At 40.4% G+C, this 21,868-nt stretch overlaps 1 long non-coding RNA gene across 3 annotated transcripts in view, besides 1 other annotated feature; it reads left to right on the top strand.

The window, feature by feature from the left end:
* Positions 1-15,637, top strand: part of LOC102724210 (uncharacterized) — a 396,780-nt gene extending 381,143 nt beyond the window's left edge. For 2 of the 3 annotated variants that reach the window (XR_001741824.3, XR_939184.4), the window contains 2 exons: positions 11,504-11,678; positions 15,523-15,637. This is a non-coding gene — a long non-coding RNA (uncharacterized LOC102724210). Of the gene's footprint in view, positions 1-299; positions 5,837-11,503; positions 11,679-15,522 lie in introns of those variants that run through there. The other variant, XR_001741825.2, reaches the window with a different exon arrangement.
* Positions 21,074-21,638: an enhancer, noted in NCBI's record as "H3K27ac-H3K4me1 hESC enhancer chr4:127988930-127989494 (GRCh37/hg19 assembly coordinates)". NCBI's record gives its function as "activates a minimal SCP1, AML or CMV promoter by ChIP-STARR-seq in primed H9 embryonic stem cells {active_cell/tissue: H9 hESC(primed)}" and the evidence as "EXISTENCE:reporter gene assay evidence [ECO:0000049][PMID:30033119]".

Genomic DNA, 21,868 nt, shown 5'->3' with positions numbered 1-21,868 from the left:
CATGCTCTGTGAATTTTGTTATTATCCACCTTCTTGAGCCTACTTCTGTCATTTCATCCATCTTAGCCTCAGCCCACTTCTGAGCCCTTGCTGGAGAGATGTTGCAGTCATTTGGAAGAAAAGGGGCACACTGGATTTTTGAGTTTTCAGCATTTTTTGTGTTAATTCTTATCTTTGTGGGCTTATCTACCTTTGATCTTCTAGGTTTCTGACATTTGGATGGGGTTTTTGTGGTTTGTTGTTGTTATGATTTTCTGTTGGTTTGTTTTTCTTTTAATAGTCTGGCCACTCTTTCATAGGGCTGCTGCGATTTGCTGAGGGTCTGCTCCAGACCCTAGTTGCCTCAGGTTTCCTGTACCTGGAGGTATCACCAGTGAAGCTGCAAAAAAGTGAGAATGACAGCCTGCCCCTTTCTCTGGAAGCTCCACCTCAGGGGATTACTGACCTATTGCCGGCCTGAACATGACTGTTGGAGGTGGCTGGAGACCTTGGTTGGGAGGTCTTACCCAGTCAAGAGGAATGGGGTCAGGGACCTGCTTAAAGAAGCAGTCCAGCTGCTTTTTGATAGAGCAGCTGTGCTGTGTTGAAGATCTCTTCAGTCTCCAATCGGTTTGGATTCTCCAAGGCCCACAGTCTGGATTGGCTGAGAAGCCTGAACAACCAACATGGTGGCCTGCTCCACCCCTCAGGCACTCTGTCCCAGGGAGAACATGGGCAGGGGTGGCCAGAGGCCCCAGCTGGGAGGACCTGGCTGGGAGGACTTGCCCTACGAGGAGTGGATCAGGGTCCTGCTTAAAGAAGCAGTGTGCATCTTTTCTTATGTGTTTCCTTTCCCTCTATATATCTACTTTTGTGAAATGTTGGTTCAAATCATTTGCTTATTCATTTTTTTTGTAGTAGTAAGAGGGTTTTTATACATTCTACATTCAATTTTTTATCAGATATATGAATTGCAATTTTTTTCTTCTCTATATCTCAATTTTTAACTGCCTTTGGAGCAAACATATATAACATGTGTGAGGTCTGATTTAGCACTTTTCTTCCTTTTTCAGTTTACTTAAAACTGACTTTAGCTCTTGCCTGTAGGTCTATGAGTTCATTTCAAGTCAAATTTTGTATAAAGTGGGAAGTAAGTGTCATGGTTTTTTTTTTTTTTTTTTTTTTTTTACCTCTTTGGCATATAAATGTCCAATTACTCCAGCACTATTTGTAGAAAGAGTATTCCTTCCTTATTGGATTATCTTGGCATCATTTGTCTAAAATGAAATTGTCATGTCTGTGTGTGTCTATATCTAGATTCCTCATTTTTTTTTGAGACAGGGTCTTACTCTGTTTTCCAGGCTTGGGTGCAGTGGCATCATCATGCCTCACTGCAGCTTCAACCTCCTCAGCTCAGGTGATCCTGCCACCTCAGTCTTCTAGGTAGCTGGGACTAAAGATGTGCACCAGCATGCTCAGCCAATTTTTTTGTATTTTTTCATAGAGACGGGGTTTACCATGTTGCCCAGATTGGTGTTGAACTCCTGGACTCAAGCAATCGGCCTGCTATGGCCTCCTAAAGTGTGGAGATTATAGGCATAAGCCACCATGCCTGGTTGCTTCATTCCATTTTGTTGATCTATATGTCTAATTTTTATGACAAATATACATACTACTTTTGTATTAGTCTGTTCTCATGCTGCTATAAAGAACTGCCCATGACTGGGCAATTTATAAAGAAAATAAGTTTAATTGACTCACACTTCAGCATGGCTTTGGAGGCCTCAGGAAACTTACCATTATGGCAGAAGTAGAAGCAAACATGTACTTCTTCACACTAGGGCAAGAAGTATGAGTGAAGTGAGGGAAACCCCTTATAAAATTATCATGTCTCATGAGAACTCACTTACTGTCATGAGAACAGAATGAGGGTAACCCCCCCCCCCCCATGATTCAATTACCTTCCACTGTGTCCCTCCCACAATATGTGAGAATTATGGGAACTGCAAGTGAAGATGAGATTTGGGAGGGGACACAGCCAAATCATATCATTCTGACCCTGCACCCTCCCAAATCTCATATCCTCACATTTCATAACACAATCATGCCCTTTCATCAGTCCCCCAATTTGTTAACTCATTAATACAAAAGTCCAAGTCCAAAGTCTCATCTAACAAGAGGCAAGTCCCTTCTGCCTATGAGCCTGTAAAATCAGAAGCAAGTTGGTTATTTTGTATTTACAATGGAGGTACAGGCATTGGGTAAATAATGCCTTTAAAAAACCTTTCCAAATGGGAGAAATTGGCCAAAACAAAGGGGCTATAGGCCCCATGAAAGTCTGAAATTCAATAGGGTAGTCATTAAACGTTAAAGTTCCAAAATAATCTTCTCTAACTCCATGTGTCACATCCAGGTCATGCTGATGCAGAAGGTGGGCTCCCACAGACTTGGGAAGCTCCACCCCTATGGCTTTGTAGGGTACAGCCCTCCTCCCAGCTGCTTTCATGGGCTGGCGTTGGGTGTCTGTGGCTTTTCTAGGCATATGGTGCTAGCTCTTGGTGGATCTACCATTCTGGGATCTGGAGGAAGGTGGCCTTCTTCTCACAGCTCCTCTAGGCAGTACCCCAGTGGGGACTCTGTGTGGGGGCTCCAATCTCACATTTCTCTTCTGCCCTTCCCTAGCAGAGGTTCTCAATGAGGGCTCCACTCCTCCAACAGACTTCTGCCTGGACATCCAGGTGTTTCCATACATCCTCTGAATCTAGGTGGAGATTCTCAAACCTCAATCCTTGACTTCTGTGCACCCGCAGTCCCACCACCTTGTGTAAGACACCAAGGATTGGGGCTTGCACCATCTAAAGCAATGGCCTGAGCTGTATCTTGGCCCCTTTTAGCCATGGCTGGAGCTGTAGCAGCTGGGACTAAGGGCACCATGTCCCGAGGCTGCATAGAGTTGGGGGATCCTGGGCCTGGCCCTCAAAGCTATTTTTCCCTCCTAGGCCTCAGGGCCTATGATGGGAGGGGCTGCTGTAAAGGTCTCTGACATGCCCTGGAGACATGTTCCCCATTGTCTTGGTGATTAACATTGGATTCCTCATTAATTATGCAAATTTCTGCAGCAGACTTGAATTTGTCCCCAGAAAAATTAGAATTTTTTTTTTTTGCTATCACATCATGAGGCTGCAAATTTTCCAAACTTTTATGATTTGTTTTCTCTTGAACACTTTACTGCTTAGAAATTTCTTCCACCAGATACCCTAATTCATCTCTCTCAAGTTCAAAGTTCCACAGATCTCTAGGGTGGGGCAAAATGCCACTAGTCTCTTTTCTAAAGCATAGCAAGAATCACTTGTATTCCAGTTCCCAACAAGTTCCTCATCTCCATCTGAGACCACCTCAACCTGGACTTCATTGTTCATATCACTATCAGTATTTTGGTCAAAGTCATTCAACAAGTCTCTAGGAAGTTCCAAACTTCCCCACATTTTCCTGTTTTCTTCTGAGCCCTCTAAACTGTTCTAACCTCTGCCTGTTATCCAGTTCCAAAATCACTTCCACATTTTCAGGTATCTTTACAGTAGCACCCCACTGGCTGTGGTACCAATTTACTGTATTAGTCCATTCTCATGCTGCTATAAAGCACTGCCTGAGACTGGGTAATTTATAAAGGAAAGAGATTTAATTGACTCCCAGTTCAGCATGGCTGGGGAGGCCTCAGGAAACTTACAATTATGGCAGAAGGGGAAGCACACATTTCCTTCTTCACATGGTGGCAGCAAGGAGAAATATGTGCAAAGGGAGGAGAAAGCCCCTTATAAGACTGTCAGTTCTCACAAGAACTCACTCACTATCATGAGAACAGCATGAAGGTAACTACCCCATTTAATTACCTCCCACTGGGTCCCTCCTACAACGTGTGGGGATTATGGAAACTACAATTCAAGATGAGATTTTTATGGGGACACAGCCAAACCATACCAACTTTGATTTCTGTAGCTTTATATACATATTAAAATCAGGTAGTATAGGTCATCCAACTTTGATATTCCTTTTAAAAATAGTTTTGGCTATACTAATTACTTTACTGTTCTATAAAAGTTTTGGAATCAGCTCATAAATTTCCACAAAATAAATGTTGCAATTTTGGGGGGAATGTGGTAAATCTATAGAAAAAGTGAATAGGATTGACCTGTTAACAATATTGACTCTTCAATGAATGAGCACAGCAAGTCTTTCCATTTATTTAGGCTTTTAAAATGTATCTTAGGAATGTTTTATAGTATTATGTATATGAATCTTGAAAGTATTTTATTAGATTCATGTCTAACTATTTAGTATAAACTGTTTCATGTAATGCCTGAGGATTTTAGTGTGTGGTAGGCATTTGGGATGCTCACCAATATGCTAATTCTCTTTTTATTGTGCATCTGGCAACTCTGCCCTTCTCTACCTCCTTGAAAATCAGCATGTCCATATGTTTGTCTTTTGCCAATAGAACATTTCTGAACAAAAATCTTTAAGACTTGGTGGATGATTCATCCTGTTCCCTTGCCCCACTACTGTGGAAAAATCATAGGAAAAAATGATACATGCTCATGATATATGTACATTCCAAGGTGATTGGAATGTTGGGTACAACAAAAGCAAGGAAGCCGGGGCATAGCCTTGTTCCAGTATATTGGAAAAATAGTGGTCCAGATTATGGAGACTTTCAGTGACAAGCAAAAGTGATTGAACTTTGGCTGGACACATTGGCTCATGCCCATAATCTGAGCACTTTGGGAGGCCAGGGTGGACAGATCACTTGAGGTCAGGAGTTCAGGACCAACCTGGCCAACATGGTGAAACCCTGTCTCTCTAAAAATACAAACATTAGCCAGGAGTGGTGGTACATGCCTGTAGTCCCAGCTACTTGGGAGGCTAAGGCAGGAGAATTGCTTGAACCCGGGAGGTGGAGGTTGCAGTGAGCTGAGATGGCACCACTGTACTCCAACCTGGCCAATAGAGTGAGACTGCATCTCAAAAAAAAAAAAAGTGATTGAATTTTATTTTGAAAGCAGTGGGGTAACTTTGGAAGGTTTGTGAGCAGAGGAATGAAGTGACCAGAACTGGGCCATAGAATGTAAATCCAGCAATGGAATAGGGAGGACTAGACTGAAGAGGAGGAGGTACCAATAATGGAAAGAATGGTTAGGAAGATTTCCCACTAGTCTGTTGAGATCAGGGAAGTCATCTAAGTTTGTAATAGAGCAAATAGAAAGGAAAAAACAAAAATGGGATAATTGTAGAGATGAATTTGATGTGTGGTTGGGCATAATCAACAGAGAAGACAGAATCTTTTAGGAGAAACCTTCCCTGGCAGTTTTGTAGGTGAATCCCCTTTTGGGGCATCTGGAAAATATGCATGTTTCTATATTAATATAGAGGTAGCTATCATGGGACAGTCACTTTGTCAGGATTTCCATTTTTTACTGAGATGTGCAATAGGGTTCATACTTTCTCCATGGCAGAGTATGAGGGGAAGGAGAGAGAGTTCTAGAGAGATACTTTCCTGCATTTCGAGACTCAAGAAATAGCCTCCTGATTTACTAAATAAAAACAGGAAAGGAGTTTTGTGTGGTCTGCTCTTTCTCCTGGAACTTGAAAGACTTAGTAGTCATGAGGTGGCTATCCCTGGTGTTTTCCTAATTTTGAATCTAGGACCTATTATGAGATTGAGTTTTATTTTTACTACTTTGCTAATCAGAGCTCAAGGGTAAGTTTTTCAAAATCTTCATCAGCTGGCAAACACAGAGGCAAAGTGTGGACATAGTTGTGTTTATATTCATTGAAAAATAAAAATTTGGTGCTTTTCCAAGCTTGCTTTCTTGTGTGAGAGACAAACATATTTTCAACAGTTTAAGTGTCCTCTCTCTCCTCTGTTCTGTCCATACCCTATAGAGTTTAAAGCTAGACTGCAGTGAGAATGACCATGACCTGCTTCTTGTTTCCTGAGCATGGGTTTTGCTGTCTAATTGATGAAATTTCCTTTTTAGATCTTGGAATTAATGAACACCTAGTAATGTTCTGGGGCATAGCCTTGTTTCAGTTTATTTTTCTGGCCACTTGGGTCCCTGTGCTTTGAGATGTATTCATGCACAGTGAAGAAGTTTGCAAATCTTTTGCTTTATATTTATCTTAGCTGGAAAACATGTGCATCTGACAAAGGCACCCTCATAGCCAGCTTTATAATTGCTAGCTCTGTCAGCATTGTATGCCCCGAGGACTGATCTGATCCCCACTACTATGCTGCTATGTTTTGTCTTGGGAAGTGATGTTAGTGTTTTACATTTTTAAAATGAAGTCATGTAGTATGTAATGGGCAGGAAAAATGTGATTAATCAATAATTTAAACATATCTTTTAGATAAGAATACATAGATACCATAGCATAAGGTAGACATGGAGCCAAATCTAGCTGCTTCTTTTCACTGTGAATAATGTATAAAGAATGACTTTGGAAGCATCATATCTAGAAGCCAGTAATTTCAAATAATCAGTAGAATATATATCATAAGAATAAAAGTCAGGCTCTTTTTCTTGCATTTGCTGATAGAATTTAGTACATAGTAGTAATGACAAAGTATATAGCAAAAACATTGTCCTCAACTGAGTGTTAAAATCTATTGTTAATCTGGTGTGTTTTAAAAATTGAGAAGAAAGCTGCAGCTGCCTGTTGTGTCTGCCAAGTGTTCAGACATTAGGGTGAACTTGGCCAATTTGTAGAAAAACTCACCTGTAGGCCAGGTTTTTTCATAAACTCCCTATTCTGATTTCTTTTATTCTTCTTTTTTTCTTGATCTTGGGTCTCTCATTATTCTTCTGTACATCATTTTAAAATTAGATTGATTCTTAAATTCTATTCCTCTTAACTCTAGCTGACAAAATAGTGATGACTTTACCTCCTATGATATACAGCTCTTTCAAAAAATAAGCTGTCAATGTTATTTATGCTTATGGTATTTGATATGTTTACTTGTTAATTTTTTGTATTCATTTCAATTCGATTTTTATCTTTGGGTGAATTTAGGAACACTAAAGTCCCAATTACAGGATTTGTCTTGAAACTCCTAAGCACTGGATTTCCTCCTATCTAGGAGTGATCTCGGCAGTAACAAGAGTCTTTATTAATAAAAAGCATACTGCTAAGAATGGACTATTAACTGTCTTCAGCATTGGGGAGAATACAATGAAAACTTACATATGGATTTGGCATCAGATTTTAAATCAAATATATGTATATATTGGTCAACGAATGTTATTTTCCATAGATTTTTATGTTTCTTTGATTTTAGTTGAGAATACTCTAAGACTCTGCAAAGTACAAGTTATATCAACTGTAAGCACTTGTAGGCCCAGAGGCCATGCTATTAGGTTTCAACTGTCCATGCATAGGAAGAAATACAAACTCCAAAGAAAGCTTTCACGTGAAGAAGCAATTTGAATGAACAGAAAAGTGATGGACTGGAGAAGGCTGGGTTCAAGAAGGCAAAATAATGTCCCACTACTTCATCTTCCACAAGGGAATGTTAGGAGATGTTGAATAAGAAGCAAAATTTGAAGTTAGAATTTCTGGAAACCTGAATGTTGAATACTATTTATCGATATAATTTCTCTTTCTATCCTAGTCAGTGGGTAAGCTAGATAGCTGTAGATGTTGCTTGACATTTATGAAGATATAAATACTTCTAAAGCTTGGTGTTTTTCTAGTTGATCTGGTAGACAGTGGAAAATATCTCTGTAGAACTGAACTTATAAGGTTACTTAACTTATAATGAGGGGGTAACTCAGGTGCAGGAAACTCTGGTTCACGGTTTTCTCTTGTTTCTGTAGAGACGGTGTAGTTTACCACTCAATTAGATGTGGTCCCTTTCCACTGAATTTAGCATTTAAAATAAATAGGTTTCCAATCAGAGGGGCCTCGTTCATTCACAAAAGGAAAGTCATTTCAAGTAGGAGCATGTGTCTGTGCAAACTCATACTGCTGATATGTACAAAAAAGAGATTTAGTTCACACATGTTTTCTATTGCTGCACAGGGATACAAATGAGAAAATTGGGCTATAAGACTTGATTAAAGTTTCAATATAGGAGCATTAAAAACAATAAAATGCCCATGAAACAACATGCTGAAATTTTCCCCTAGCTTTGCTATCTTGTCGGGTGGCAGCATACTCCCTCTACAGCAAACAAGCTTGATGCTATTAGTGCCACAAGATTCTTCCCATGTGGTATAGATCTGTCTCATTTCTCTAAAATGTGTTCCCTTGCCTTCCAAAATTCCTTCCTATATTTCCTCTGAAGAAATCATTTCTAATTTGGAAACCTTTGTAGAAGAAATCCATATATTGTTTTACTATTTGGTGGGGAAGCAGTTCTCTTCTTCGGATACTGGATAATAATAGATTTTGTGAGTATGACAGCAATATGGCCAGAATCTCCATGAAAAGAATTGCTTTCATGCTATTATTTGAAAGAAGAATAACAGCCTTTGTTATTGAAGAAACTGCTTCTTTTCATCAAAAATCCTGATGCATCTAATTGACTCTGAGAATATTACCTTTGTGTCCATGCTGAGATTCTGCCTCCAGCACAGATGTTGAAACCACAGATGTCCACCACACCAGATCAGAAACATTATTTTTCAAATAGTTTCTTACCTTCTTGCACCAAAACTGAAGATATGATCACAAATAGTAAGAACTCTTTTTTGTGTAATAGTCTGGGTAAGATGGTACTCTACATTTTGAGCTTTTTTTTGGCGGGGGGGATGCAAAGCAGATGTCACTGATTATTTATAATATGTTCTTAAAGAAGAATTTAATAAGCACAGTGTTCTAGAAAACACAACTTTGGAAGGGTCACATTGCTTGGCCACATGTTATATATTAAGGAGAATTAATGCGATTGCAGATAATTTGCGCTATGGTGTTACTATTGCTTATTAGTGCAAGAGCTGGAGGGTACGTGAACTAAATGTTCCTTAGTTCACAGGGTGGTGCATGATGCATTTTCTTGGCTGTCCTCACAAAGTCATAAATCGATTGAATGAGCTGAAAAATAACTCCAAAAGGATTTGCAGAGGGCAAGTACTCATTGGGGGCTATTCCTGACCAAATGGCTACTTGGCTGTGTTATCTAGAGAACATCACATAATTTCTAATTGCTTGAATTACTTCATAGGTCAAATGCAACCCAGACTGTCTACATGGCGTTATTGCAACTCTTTAAAATCAAAGCATTCCCTCTTAAAATCAGTTCAACTGATTTTGTTTTTCCCTTGAGTTGACAGGTTTGTTTGGTGTTGTATAGACAAAGCTTCATTTATCAGCAGTAAAACCTCATTCATTTAAACTACTAATTCATAATTTGTGTATTTTGACTTAGGTGGATCTAAAATTTATCTTAGTACAATCTGTTAAAGACAATGAATAAAATTAGTATACTAATAGTGTAAACTAAACAAGACTGTAGAGGAGATTGGATCAAGATGGAGAAATGAATGCAGAACCCTACTTTTCCTTCCACCCCAAACCCTTAAACAGAAAAAATATTTTTATATTTAAAAATTATAAGTTCATAATAACATTGTAAAGCAAAAAGAATGATTATAATAAAACATATGGCATCAGTTGAGGAGAAAACTACAGCTCCCAAAATGTACAATAGGAAAGTGCAAAAATATGGAAGGATCTTTAGGGGACCTGTAAACTTAGGAATATAGATACCACAACAGAAGTAATCCCCAAAGCAAAGTCTAGCAGTTAATTGGCATGCCATACTGGGACAAACAGGTGGACAGCTCCACAGTGAACTTAAAAATTCCAAGCCACTGTTTTCCCCCACCGCCTGGAATAGTGAGTGTGGGGATTTGAGTCAGAGAGGAGGGCTGGCCCTTAGTGGCTTATGCTACTCAGGTGAGACAGAAAACTGTCACTGCTGTAAAACCATTTGCTGGTACTTCCTGTTGGTACATTGTGCAATCCCTTTCCCATAGTGAAAAGATATAGTCCATAGTAAATAGAAGTAGTATTCATAAATAGGTGAATAAAGATTACAAAATACAATTATAAGCACACAACTGAGAATCATCATGCATTAGGGATAGTGAACTGATCAATATACCATCTGAAAAAAGAGAGAGATGGAGCATGAAGAGAAAGGCTAGAATATAAGTATAGATAATATTCCCAGTGGGATGAGAAACTGTATCTCATCCATGAAACAAGAAATCTTTGAGATAAAATGATATAATTGAAAAAGAAATGGAAAGTTTTTTTTTTTTCTTTTTTTTTTTTTTGAGATGGAGTTTTGCTCTTGTTGCCCAGGCTGGGGTGCAGTGGTGTGATCTCGGCTCACCACAACCTCCATCTCCTGGGCTCAAGTGATTCTCCTGCCTCAGCCTCCCGAGTAGCTGGGATTACAGGCATGTGCCACCACGCCCAGCTAAATTTTGTATTTTTAGTAGAGACGGGGTTTCTCCATGTTGGGCAGGCTGGTCTCGAACTCATGACCTCGGGTGATCTGCCTGCCTCAGCTTCCCAAAGTGCTGGGATTACAGGCATGAGCCACTGCGCCTGGCCAAGAATTGGATAGATTTAATATCAGATTGACATTACTCAAGCATAAACTAATGAGCTGCAAGCATAAGCAAAATAGCTCTAGAATATAGTACCAAAAGACAAATAGATGGAAAGCATGAAAGAAGTTAAGCGATAAACAGAAGTTTAATCATCAATGCTATAGAAGGTTCTGAGAGTGAGAAATAATGAAAGAAATGATAGAAAAACTTTCCTAAAGATGAAGATAGACATGAACTTTCAGGTGGCCTCTAAGTGACAAGGTAGGTGAATTGAACAAATATATATTATATATTTGTTTTGAATATATATGTTTCTAAAGACCCAGAAAGCAAAAAACATATTTCTTTTTAAAATTTTTTTTTATTATAGTTAAAGTTCTGGGATACATGTACAGAACCTGCAGGTTTGTTTCATAGGTATACACATGACATGGTGGTTGGCTGCACCCATCAACCCGTTATCTACATTAGGTATTTCTCCTAATGCTATCCCTCCCCTAGCTCCCAAACCCCTGACAGGCACCAGTGTGTGATGTTCCCTTCCATGTGTCCATGTGTTCTCATTGTTCAATTCCCACTTATGAGTGAGAACATGCAGTGTTTGGTTTTCTGTTCCTGTGTTAGTTTGCTGAGAATGACGGTTTCCAGCTTCATCCATGTCCCTGCAAAGGACATGAACTAACCCTTTTTATGGCTGCATAGTATTCCATGGTGTATATGTGCCACATTTTCTTTATTCAGTCTATCATTGTTGGGCATTTGGGTTGGTTCCAAGTCCTTACTAATGTGAACAGTGCTGCAATAAACATACATGTGGATGTGTCTTTATAGTAGAGTGATTTATAATCCTTTGGCTATATATCCAGTAATGGGATTGCTGGGTCAAATGGTATTTCTGGTTCTAGATCCTTGAGGAATCACCACACTGTCTTCCACAATGGGTGGTACATCCAGAAAACAGAATATTACTTAGTGCTAAAAAGAAATGTGCTATCAAGCCATGAAAATATACATGGAAAGCGCAACACGGCTGAATAGAAACAGCTCCGTTCTGCAGCTCCCAGTTGATCAATGCAGAAGGTAGGTGATTTCTGCATTTCCAACTGAGGTGCTTGGCTTATCTCATTGTGGGGGTTAGACAGTGGGTGCAGCCCATGGAGGGCAAGCTGAAGCAGGGTGGGGCCTCAGCTCACCCGGGAAGCACAAGGGGTCAGGGAACTCCCTCCCCTCTCCAGGGGAAGCCATGAGGGACTGGGCCGTGAGGAATGGTGCATTTTGGCCTAGATACTATGCTTTTCCTACAGTCTTTGCAACCCGCAGACCAGGAGATTCCCCTGGTGACTACACCACTAGGGCCCTGGGTTTCAAGCACAAAACTGGGCAGCCATTTGGGCAGACACCAAGCTAGCTGCAGGAGTTTTTTTTCATACCCCAGTGGTGTCTGGAACACCAGTGTGATGGAACCATTCACTCCCCAGGAAAGGGGGCTGGAGCCAGGGAGCCAAGTGGTCTAGCTCAGCAGATCCCACCCGCCACAGAGCCCATCAAGCTAAGATCCACTGGCTTGAAATTCTCACTGCCAACACCGAAGTCTGAAGTCGACCTGGGTTGCTCCAGCTTGGTGGGTGGGAGGGGTGTCCACCATTACTGAGGCTTGAGTAGGTGGTTTTCCCCTCACAGTGTAAACAAAGCTGCTGGGAAGTTTGGACTGGGCAGAACCCACTGCAGCTTGGCAAAGCTGCTGTAGCCAGACTGCCTCTCTAGATTTCCTCTTCTCTGGGCAGGGCATCTCTGAAAAAAAGGCAGCAGCCCCAGTCAGGGGCTTATAGATAAAACTCTCATCTCCCTGGGACAGAGCACCTGGGGGAAGGGGCGGCTGATGGGCACAGCATCAGCAGACTTAAACATTCCTGCCTGTTGGCTCTGAAGAGAGAAGCAAATCTCCCAGCACAGTGCTCGAGCTCTGCTAAGGGACAGACTGCATCCTCAAATGGGTTCCTGAGCCCCGTGCCTCCTGATGGGGAGACACCTCCCAACAGGGGTTGAAAAACACCTCATACAGGAGAGATCTGGCTGGCATCTGGCGGGTGCCCCTCTGGGATGAAGCTTCCAGAGGAAGGTACAGGCAGCAGTCTTTGCTGTTCTGCAGCCTCTGCTGGTGATACCCAGGCAAACAGGGTCTGGAGTGGACCTCCAGCAAACTCCAGCAGACCTGCAGCTGAGAGGCCTGATTGTTAGAAGGAAAACTAACAAACAGAAAGGAATAGCATCAACATCAACAAACAGGACATCGACACAAAAAGCCCATCTGAAGGTCACCAGCATCAAAGAACAAAGGTAGAGAAATCCATGAAGATGAGGAAAAACCAGCGCAAAAAGCCTGAAAATTCCAGAACCAGAAGGCCTCTTCTCCTCCAACGGATCACAACTACTTACAAGCAAAGGAACAAAACTAGACAGAGAATGAGTTTGACGAATTGACAGAAGTAGGCTTCAGAAGGTGGGTAATAACAAACTCCTCCAAGCTAAAGGAACGGGTTCTAACCCAATGCAAGGAAGCTAAGAACATTGAAAAAAGGTTAGTGGAATTGCTAACTAGAATAACCAGTTTAGAAAACAACATAAATGGCCTGATGGAGCTGAGAAACACAGCATCAGAACTTTGTGAAGCATACACAAGTATCAACAGCCTAATCGATCAACCAGAAGAAAGGATATCAGAGATTGAAGATCAACTTAATGAAATAAAGCATGAAGACAAGATTAGAGAAAAAAGAATGAAAAAGAATGAACAAAGCCTCCAAGAAATATGGGACTATGTGAAAAGGCCACACCTACGTTTGATTGGTGTACCTGAAAGTGACGGGGAGAATGAAACCAAGTTGGAAAACACTCTTCAGGATATTAACCAGGAGAACTTCCCCAACCTAGCAAGACAGGCCAACATTCAAATTCAGGAAATACAGAGAACACCACGAAGATACTCCTCAAGAAAACCAACCCCAAGACACATAATAGTCAGATTCACCAAGTTTGAAATGAAGGAAAAAATGTTAAGGGCAGCCAGAGAGAAAGGTCGGGTTACCCACAAAGGAAAGCCCATCAGACTAACAGAGGATCTCTCGGCAGAAACCCTACAAGCCAGAAGAGTGTGGGGGCCAATATTTAACATTCTTAAAGAAAAGAATTTTCAACCCAGAATTTCATATCCAGCCAAACTAAGCTTCATCAGCGAAGGAGAAATAAAATCTTTACAGACAAGCACATGCTGAGAGATTTTGTCACCACCAGGCCTGCCTTACAAGAACTCCTGAAGGAAGCACTAAACGTGGAAAGGAAAAACTGGTACCAGCCACAGGAAAAACATGCCAAATTGTAAAGATCATTTACACTATGAAGAAACTGCATCAACTAACGGGCAAAATAACTAGCTAGCACTATAATGACAGGATCAAATTCACACATAATAATATTAACTTTAACTGTAAACAGGCTAAATGCCCCAATTAAAAGACACAGACGGGCAAATTGCAGAAAACATATTTCTTGTGAGAGTAGAAATCAGATTAAAATTAGACTTCTCGATGGCAACATTGGTGACTAGAAGAAAGTAGAGAAATATCTTTAGAGTTTATGGGAGGAATAATTTCACATTTGTAATTTTATATACTCCTAAGTTTGCTTACAATTTGTAGAATAGGGTTTTAAAATTTTATATATTTTTCACATTTGCAAAAGCTCAGGATATTTACTCACCACAGATACATTCTACTACAATATTGTTTAAATAAAATTAAAGAAAAAAACAAAGGCAAAGAAAAGAAGTGAGTATAACAAATGATAATAATAAATACTAATAAATTACTTACATAATGTTAAAATTGTAGTCTTAATTACATAGACACATATTTATTTAGCAGTGCTATTTTTCAGGCACTGCTTTGGGAACTATACATTGACAGAAAGTTTAAACATTCATGTTGCAAATGTAAGGAGAAACATTGAAAGACTAAACATGTATGTCTAGCTCCCAAACCACCAAATGAAAAGAATGAAATGAAAGAATTTGATCAATACAACAAAAGCAAGAAAAAGACATGGGAAGTAATCAGAGACATGGCTTATTAAAAAACTAAAACAGACGGAGCAGACAAGCCAAATATATTAAAATATATAGTCATAATCATAAGTAAAAGGATTAAATTCTTTCAGGAAAAGGCAAGGAATCCAGATTAAGTTAAAAAATCAGATCAGATTATTTGATGTATCTGACTCAAGTCTTGTAAGCTTCCTCAGAGTGCCTCAGTTGTTTCCTTTCCTCTGAATATACCACTTAACTCTTTATGAAATCGCTGACACTGCCAATGTGGAGTCAAGAGAGACATGTCTCACAAAGAATTGTATGGCATTTGCCAGATGTAGTTGAGTGCAATCTGATACATGAAAGACAAAATATTTCTGAGAGGGCTACAAAGTACCATAAGCATATATTTAAAAAAGTCAGTGGTAATTCAATACCCAAAAGGATGTTTTAATAGACCAACTTTCTACAGCCAGGAAGCAGGCTGAGAGGAAGCTGCTCATCAACCACTGATGGCATTTTCTCCAATGCCCTCTTAAGATATGGCTGGGGAGGCTAATGGAAAAGACATAGATAATGGAGCCAGTAGCCAAGGAGAACTATGGACTAGGATGTTTCTGCTAGGAAATGAGAGTCGGGTCTAATCAAGAGATGCTTTTGATTACAGCATAGAGGGATCTGTACAGAGTGATTAGAATAGCTATAGACCAGACTGCTGTTTGCCTCCTGTTCTTTTGTTTTTAAAAGAGTCTTGCTTATTGCAGTTATCCTTTCCCTATCCCACCATTTATGTCGGGCATACTAAACCAAAGGGAGTTGGGGGTAGATAACTTGTCTTTTTAGTTCGTAGGTCTTGAGATCAAGAGCAACCCCATGTGGATCCATGGTAGATCACAAGATCTGGAAGTTTGTGCCTAATGTTGTTATCAGATGAGCCTTTTGGGGATGTCCTGAAGGGGTAAGTTCTTCCTGTGTGAGAGGGTGAATATTTGTGGCCAAGGGAGTGGCATGTGGTAGATTGTGTAATTATTCTCAATTTTAACTCCATCTCCGTACCATGCTATCTTGCATTACCTCTCAGTGAAGTAATCATTAGCTTTGGGCTTGGTGATGGAGCATACCTTATTGTAGTGTGCTGCAAGAAGAAGATTTAAATTTGCTTGTTTTGATGGCTTCTTATGTTTCTACCATCTACCACGAGAAGAAAATGTCTCGGGTAGATAGTGGTCTTGAAGAAAACACACAGAATAGAATGATGTTTGATTTCAAGCCATAATCTCTTGCATCCAGAATATCCCAGCCAAGAGCAGAGAGCCTTAGATGACCTTCGGACTCATAAGTGACAAATGAGAGCTTGTTGTAAGGTACTGTTTTGGGGCTTGATTACTATGTGACACTTTACAACAGAAAACAAACACAATGGGAGTTATCTAGGAAGGGTGATTTACAGACCTATCATTCAGAATGGGCTGGGTTATGCTAGGACAACAATCACAACATCTCAGTGGCTTATAATCACAAAGGTTTGTATTTTACCCATGCCACATGTCTGTTGAAGATCAAATGTGGCTTTGCTTCACAGTGTATTTACATCAGCAGCCAGGCTGATGAAGCAGCTTAAGTCAAGAATACTGGTAGTTCCATAGATAAGGAGGAAATCAGGATGACAAAGCGCATGCTAGTTCTTGCAGTTTCCAGCCAAAAGTAGCCAATGACAATTCTATTCAATTTCATTGCTGTTAATAAGTCACATAGTTACTCCTAACGTCAAGAGGATGGAAATGTATAATCCTCCATAACAGATTAATAACAAATTTTTTTAAAAACTGGATTGCTATGCTAAAAGCATTTTATTTGCCTTTGCATATACTCTGTCAGTTGATGTAAAAATATGTTAGTTATTATTGTGATTAAAAGAGAAAATATTTTCTTACAGTGAAACAACTTCAACATTCAGTGTCCTTCATGTAATTGCAATATATATATTTTGTGGCATGTTCTACATTATGTTGGACTTTTGCCCTGATAGCAAGACCCCCAAGAATACCCACTTGGCCTTTAAAAGCTTTCTGAATTCTCAGAAGCTATTAATTGCTTGCTTTTTATGGTAGAAAGAACACTGGTTTTTGAGTATTCAAATTCTCACTGCTTTTTTTCCTGTCTTTTTATTTGGCCTCCTTGAACCTGTTTTTTTTGCTTTTTTGTTTGTTTGTTTGTTTGTTTTTGAGATGGAGCTTTGCTCTTGTTGCCCAGGCTGGAGTGCAATGGTGCAATCTCTGCTTACCACAACCTCCGCTTCCTGGGTTCAAGTGATTCTGCTGCCTCGGCCTGCCAAGTAGCTGGGATTACAGGCATAAACCACCTCGCCCGGTTAATTTTGCAATTTTAGTAGAGATGGGGTTTCTCCATGTTGGTCAGGCTGGTCTCGAACTCCCAACCTCAGGTGATCCCCCCGCCTCGGCCTCCCAAAGTGCTGGGATTACAGGCGTGAGCCACTGTGCCCAGCCAAACTTTTTTTAAAAAAAAAAAAAAAAAACAGTAAAATGAGAATATTTTCTATACTTTAATCCATTAGGATTAAAAAATCATTTGTTTAAAATGTCTACATAGAGGATTGCTGAATAAGCAGAAACTGCTGCTCCTGTTGCTTTTCTTCTTGTTGTTCCTGTATGGAAAATTTCTTGACAAATAGCTGTTTTAAGATCAATATTTGGTTAGTTATGGAATGCATACTATTCAAATAGGCAACAGAAACATGAGTCTTCTTTAGCATGGTAGAACGAAAGTCCCATATAATGACAGTCTGAGACTTGAAGTCTTGAACTGTCAATCCAGTTATTGTTAGGGAAATAAAAGAAATTCAAAATGCTTCTCAACTAGAATAATTCTTACAAGAGGCAATTGTTTGGAAACTACATTATCATTGTTGATGAGAATTAGAGGCATCTGAGTTTACATTTTTAAACATTTATAGAACAGAGCCCTCTGATATATTTGGACCAGTCATGAGATTATGTTCTTAGAATTATGCAGCATTATTCCTAGGCATGCACTCAGATGTGTGTCCCTTAGAAAGCAGCATGTACTGTTTTTACAGCTGGCCTGAGTAAAATTTTGTCAGATACCTTAACAGTGTTTTTTCTCCTTTTTCTATTATTTGAGCTTTAGGCAAGATATACTATGAAACTAAAAATCCAAAATGTTTTTGCTCAAAAGAAACTTCTGGACGCCCAGCATGCTGGATGTGTTCTCCTTTGAACTCAGGGGGAGGTTCACATGGACAACTCAGTGTAAAAAGAAACATCTATTTTTCAGGAAGGCAGATTTGCCTGAGATCTATGAGGCTTCACTCCTTGGGTTGAGAAATGATAGGAACTTGGTCATCTCTGGGAAGGTTTCTCATGAAACCAGCCAATCATGTACTACTCAGCATTGTACTAGGAATCATCAGGTTTACAAATGATAAGACTTCATGGATTTCACCTTTAAGTAGCTTCCAATTGAGATGAGAAGTTAAGATAGATAATAAATATGAAAAACTATGACATGATACTATATCAAATTGAGCAAATGTGCTATAAAAATTCATCAAAATTTATAGCGAAGGCTTGGAAGGGAAGTAAAGTATCATCTTAGTCCTGAACAATCCATAATATTCCAAGTTATGAGAAGATCATAGGCAAGAACAAGGAAATAGGGAAGAACCTGCTTTGTGAAAAGGCAATCAGATTGGGGTAGCCAGAACAGAGGGCTGGGATTCTAGGGGAATTCATCAGATAATATGTCTTGAAAGTCAAGTTTAAAGAATTGATTTCTCGAAACTGAGGGAGGAGAGAGGTGCAACGGTGTTGAAGGCAGGGAACCTAGGATCAAATTTTTGTTTTGCCTCCAAGTAGCATAATGAATAAGACATATAGGATCTTTATTGTTATGAATCCTAGTGGATTGTTATGTTATGATCCTAGTGGCAAACACAAATATTAAAATAATACATTCTCAAATAAATACATATTTAAAATTATGATGAAGTTTGTAGCACTAAAAGAAGTTATATTTGAGGCACAGTGAGCAGAGAAGGGCAGCATGTGGCTGAGGAGGTAAGCCTTGGCCAGATTCATGTTACTGATAGTGGATTTCATACTTAGAGCCATGGAAAAGAACGTTTCTTAAGCTAGCAATGGGTGATCTGTTTGGGTGTGCATTCTTTAAACAGTGTTATGGTTGCAATGTGAAGAAATGCTTGCAAGAAGATAAAATCAGATTCAGGAAGAGTGGTTGGAATGCCACTATAGGTATGTGTCTGTGTGTCAGGGGGGTGGTTACACCAAAAGGCAGAGTGCAGTGCCTACTTGATCCTACTTTCCTGGGACCTAGAGCGGTATGAATTAATCTGCAGGACACTAAGAAAATGACCAATTGCCCTATTGAGTAGTCCAATACAAAAGGCATCTTGACAATATTTGGAGTCCCTATTCTCCTCTCCAGAAGCTTCACCAAATCATCAGAAAACTCTTCTAACTCAGTCTTTTCACACCCTCTCTCTCTCTCTTTATTTATTACCTCAGAATAATGTCATGTTTCTAAAATATACCAGGAATTAAAATAAACATGCTGGCTAGAATAAAAAAGCAGACTTCTAAAGTAGAATTAGGAGTCAAATAGTAAATCTCACATTTTAAAAATAGAGATTCATTATCTTCAGGCACATTCTTCCTCACTCACATGTGGGACCAGGCAATGCTGTGCTGGGTTGTCCCATCATATGTGTTCCAGCCCTTGTGGACACACACCAGATACACAGGACTTCTGAATCATGGAGTAATCCGAGAGGCCCATTAGGTCTTCTTGAGTATCCTGCTGCCAGGGTTGCATTGCTCCATACTAAAGAGCTATAAACTCATTGTCTCATTGAGATTTAAACAGCTCATGCTAAATAGCTCTCTTCTTTTTGTTCAGACTCACTCTTCAACTTACTTGAGGTCTGTGAATTCTTTTTTTTTTCCTATTCTTCACTGTTGAGATTTTTCTTTCTCACTTTTCATTTTTCTGCTCCTTATGTAGAATTTAATCTCATCCTTATATATTCTGGCACAGCTGAGGTTTAGGCAAAAACAGCTATTGATATTTTCAGTAAAGCAGGTCAGGGAGTTAGCCTTTGAAATGTTCCATTTTCTAGGTGGTTGGTGTCTTACCCTAGGTAGTCCTTCAATGCCATTTGGAAACCTTGGGTGTCCCTGCTGTTCACCTGCACACCTAGATCAGAATTGCACAGTCACATTTCTCCCTCTGCAAATGTGTCCCCTGGAACTACTCTTTGGAAAGCTGTTCTAGCCAAAATAAAGCTATTTATAAAAGTAGGGTCTAGTTCTCTATTTTTATGTAAGTCTAAAACACTGCACTTCACCTCACACTTCAAAATCTACAGTTTCATCCTGCCCTATTTGATGTGCTTGGACAATTTTTATATTCGATTCAAATGAGATATGTCTCTTGGAATAAAATCTGCCAGGACGTGTGTGCTAAAGGAATAGTGGTGTGATGTTTACTGGTTTGTAAATCTGCCAGAAAGTAAAGAATGAGGTACTGCTTTCATATTGACCACCCTTTCTGTCATTAACAGAAAGGAAAATTTTAGTTCTACCCACCAGTGCCTATAACAACAGGCAATTCTATATTTAATTTGAATTAATTATATAGGACTATATTTTGGTATGAGTCTTTTGTATATCAATATCATCCGTTTATTAAAAGAACACAAACTTCCTATTCTTACGTATTTCTGAAATGTATCTTTTGATCAACCACAGACTCTCTGAAAATATTCTCTTAGATGCTCAAGTCACATCTGCAGTACAGTAGTCCCCCCTTATCTGCTGTTTTGCTTTCTGCAGTTCTAGTTACCCATGGTCAACTGTACTCTGAAATAATAAGTGAAAAATTCCGATCTAGTCTTCATTCACAGAGAACTGACCCCCAACTGCTCCTCTGTACTCTGCTCCTACAGGCCCAGCTGCTGTGGCTGTGCGACCTGCAGGGACTGGCAGACCCGTAGCTAAGACGCCAGGATTTCCTGGAAGCAGAGAAATGAAATTGAAGTATTAAAATATCTTATTATAATTACATTGCTCTAGGGGGAGGAGCCAAGATGGCCGAATGGGAACAGCTCCTGTCTATAGCTCCCAGCCTGAGCGACGCAGAAGACGGGTGATTTCTGCATTTCCATCTGAGGTACCGGGTTCATCTCACTAGGGAGTGCCAGACAGTGGGCGCAGGTCAGTGGGTGCGCGCACCGTGCGCGAGCCGAAGCAGGGCGAGGCATTGCCTCACTCGGGAAGTGCAAGGGGTCAGGGAGTTCCCTTTCCTAATCAAAGAAAGGGGTGACGGACGGCACCTGGAAAATCGGATCACTCTCACCCAAATACTGTACTTTTCTGACGGGCTTAAAAAACAGCGCACCACGAGATTATATCCCGCACCTGGCTCGGAGGGTCCTACGCCCACGGAGTCTCGCTGATTGCTAGCACAGCAGTCTGAGATCAAACTGCAAGGTGGCAGCCAGGCTGGGGGAGGGGCGCCCGCCATTGCCCAGGCTTGCTTAGGTAAACAAAGCAGCCAGAAGCTCAAACTGGGTGGAGCACACCACAGCTCAAGGAGGCCTGCCTGCCTCTGTAGGCTCCACCTCTGGGGGCAGGGCACAGACAAACAAAAAGACAGCAGTAACCTCTGCAGACTTAAATGTCCCTGTCTGACAGCTTTGAAGAGAGCAGTGGTTCTCCCAGTATGCAGCTGGAGATCTGAAAATGGGCAGACTGCCTCCTCAAGTGGGTCCCTGACCCCTGACCCCCGAGCAGCCTAACTGGGAGGCACCCTCCAGCAGGGGCACACTGACACTCACACGGCAGGGTATTCCAACAGACCTGCAGCTGAGGGTCCTGTCTGTTAGAAGGAAAACTAACAAACAGAAAGGACATCCACACCAAAAACCCATCTCTACGTCACCGTCATCAAAGACCAAAAGTGGATAAAACCACAAAGATGGGGAAAAAACAGAACAGAAAAACTGGAAACTCTAAAAAGCAGAGTGCCTCTCCTCCTCCAAAGGAACACAGTTCCTCACCAGCAACGGAACAAAGCTGGATGGAGAATGACTTTGACGAGCTGAGAGAAGAAGGCTTCAGACGATCAAATT

This window comes from Homo sapiens, chromosome 4, assembly GCF_000001405.40.
Source record: "Homo sapiens chromosome 4, GRCh38.p14 Primary Assembly".
NCBI classification, from domain to species: domain Eukaryota; kingdom Metazoa; phylum Chordata; class Mammalia; order Primates; family Hominidae; genus Homo; species Homo sapiens.
The sequence above is the reverse complement of the archived record's forward strand: the minus strand, read 5'-3'. Positions and strand labels throughout refer to the sequence as shown.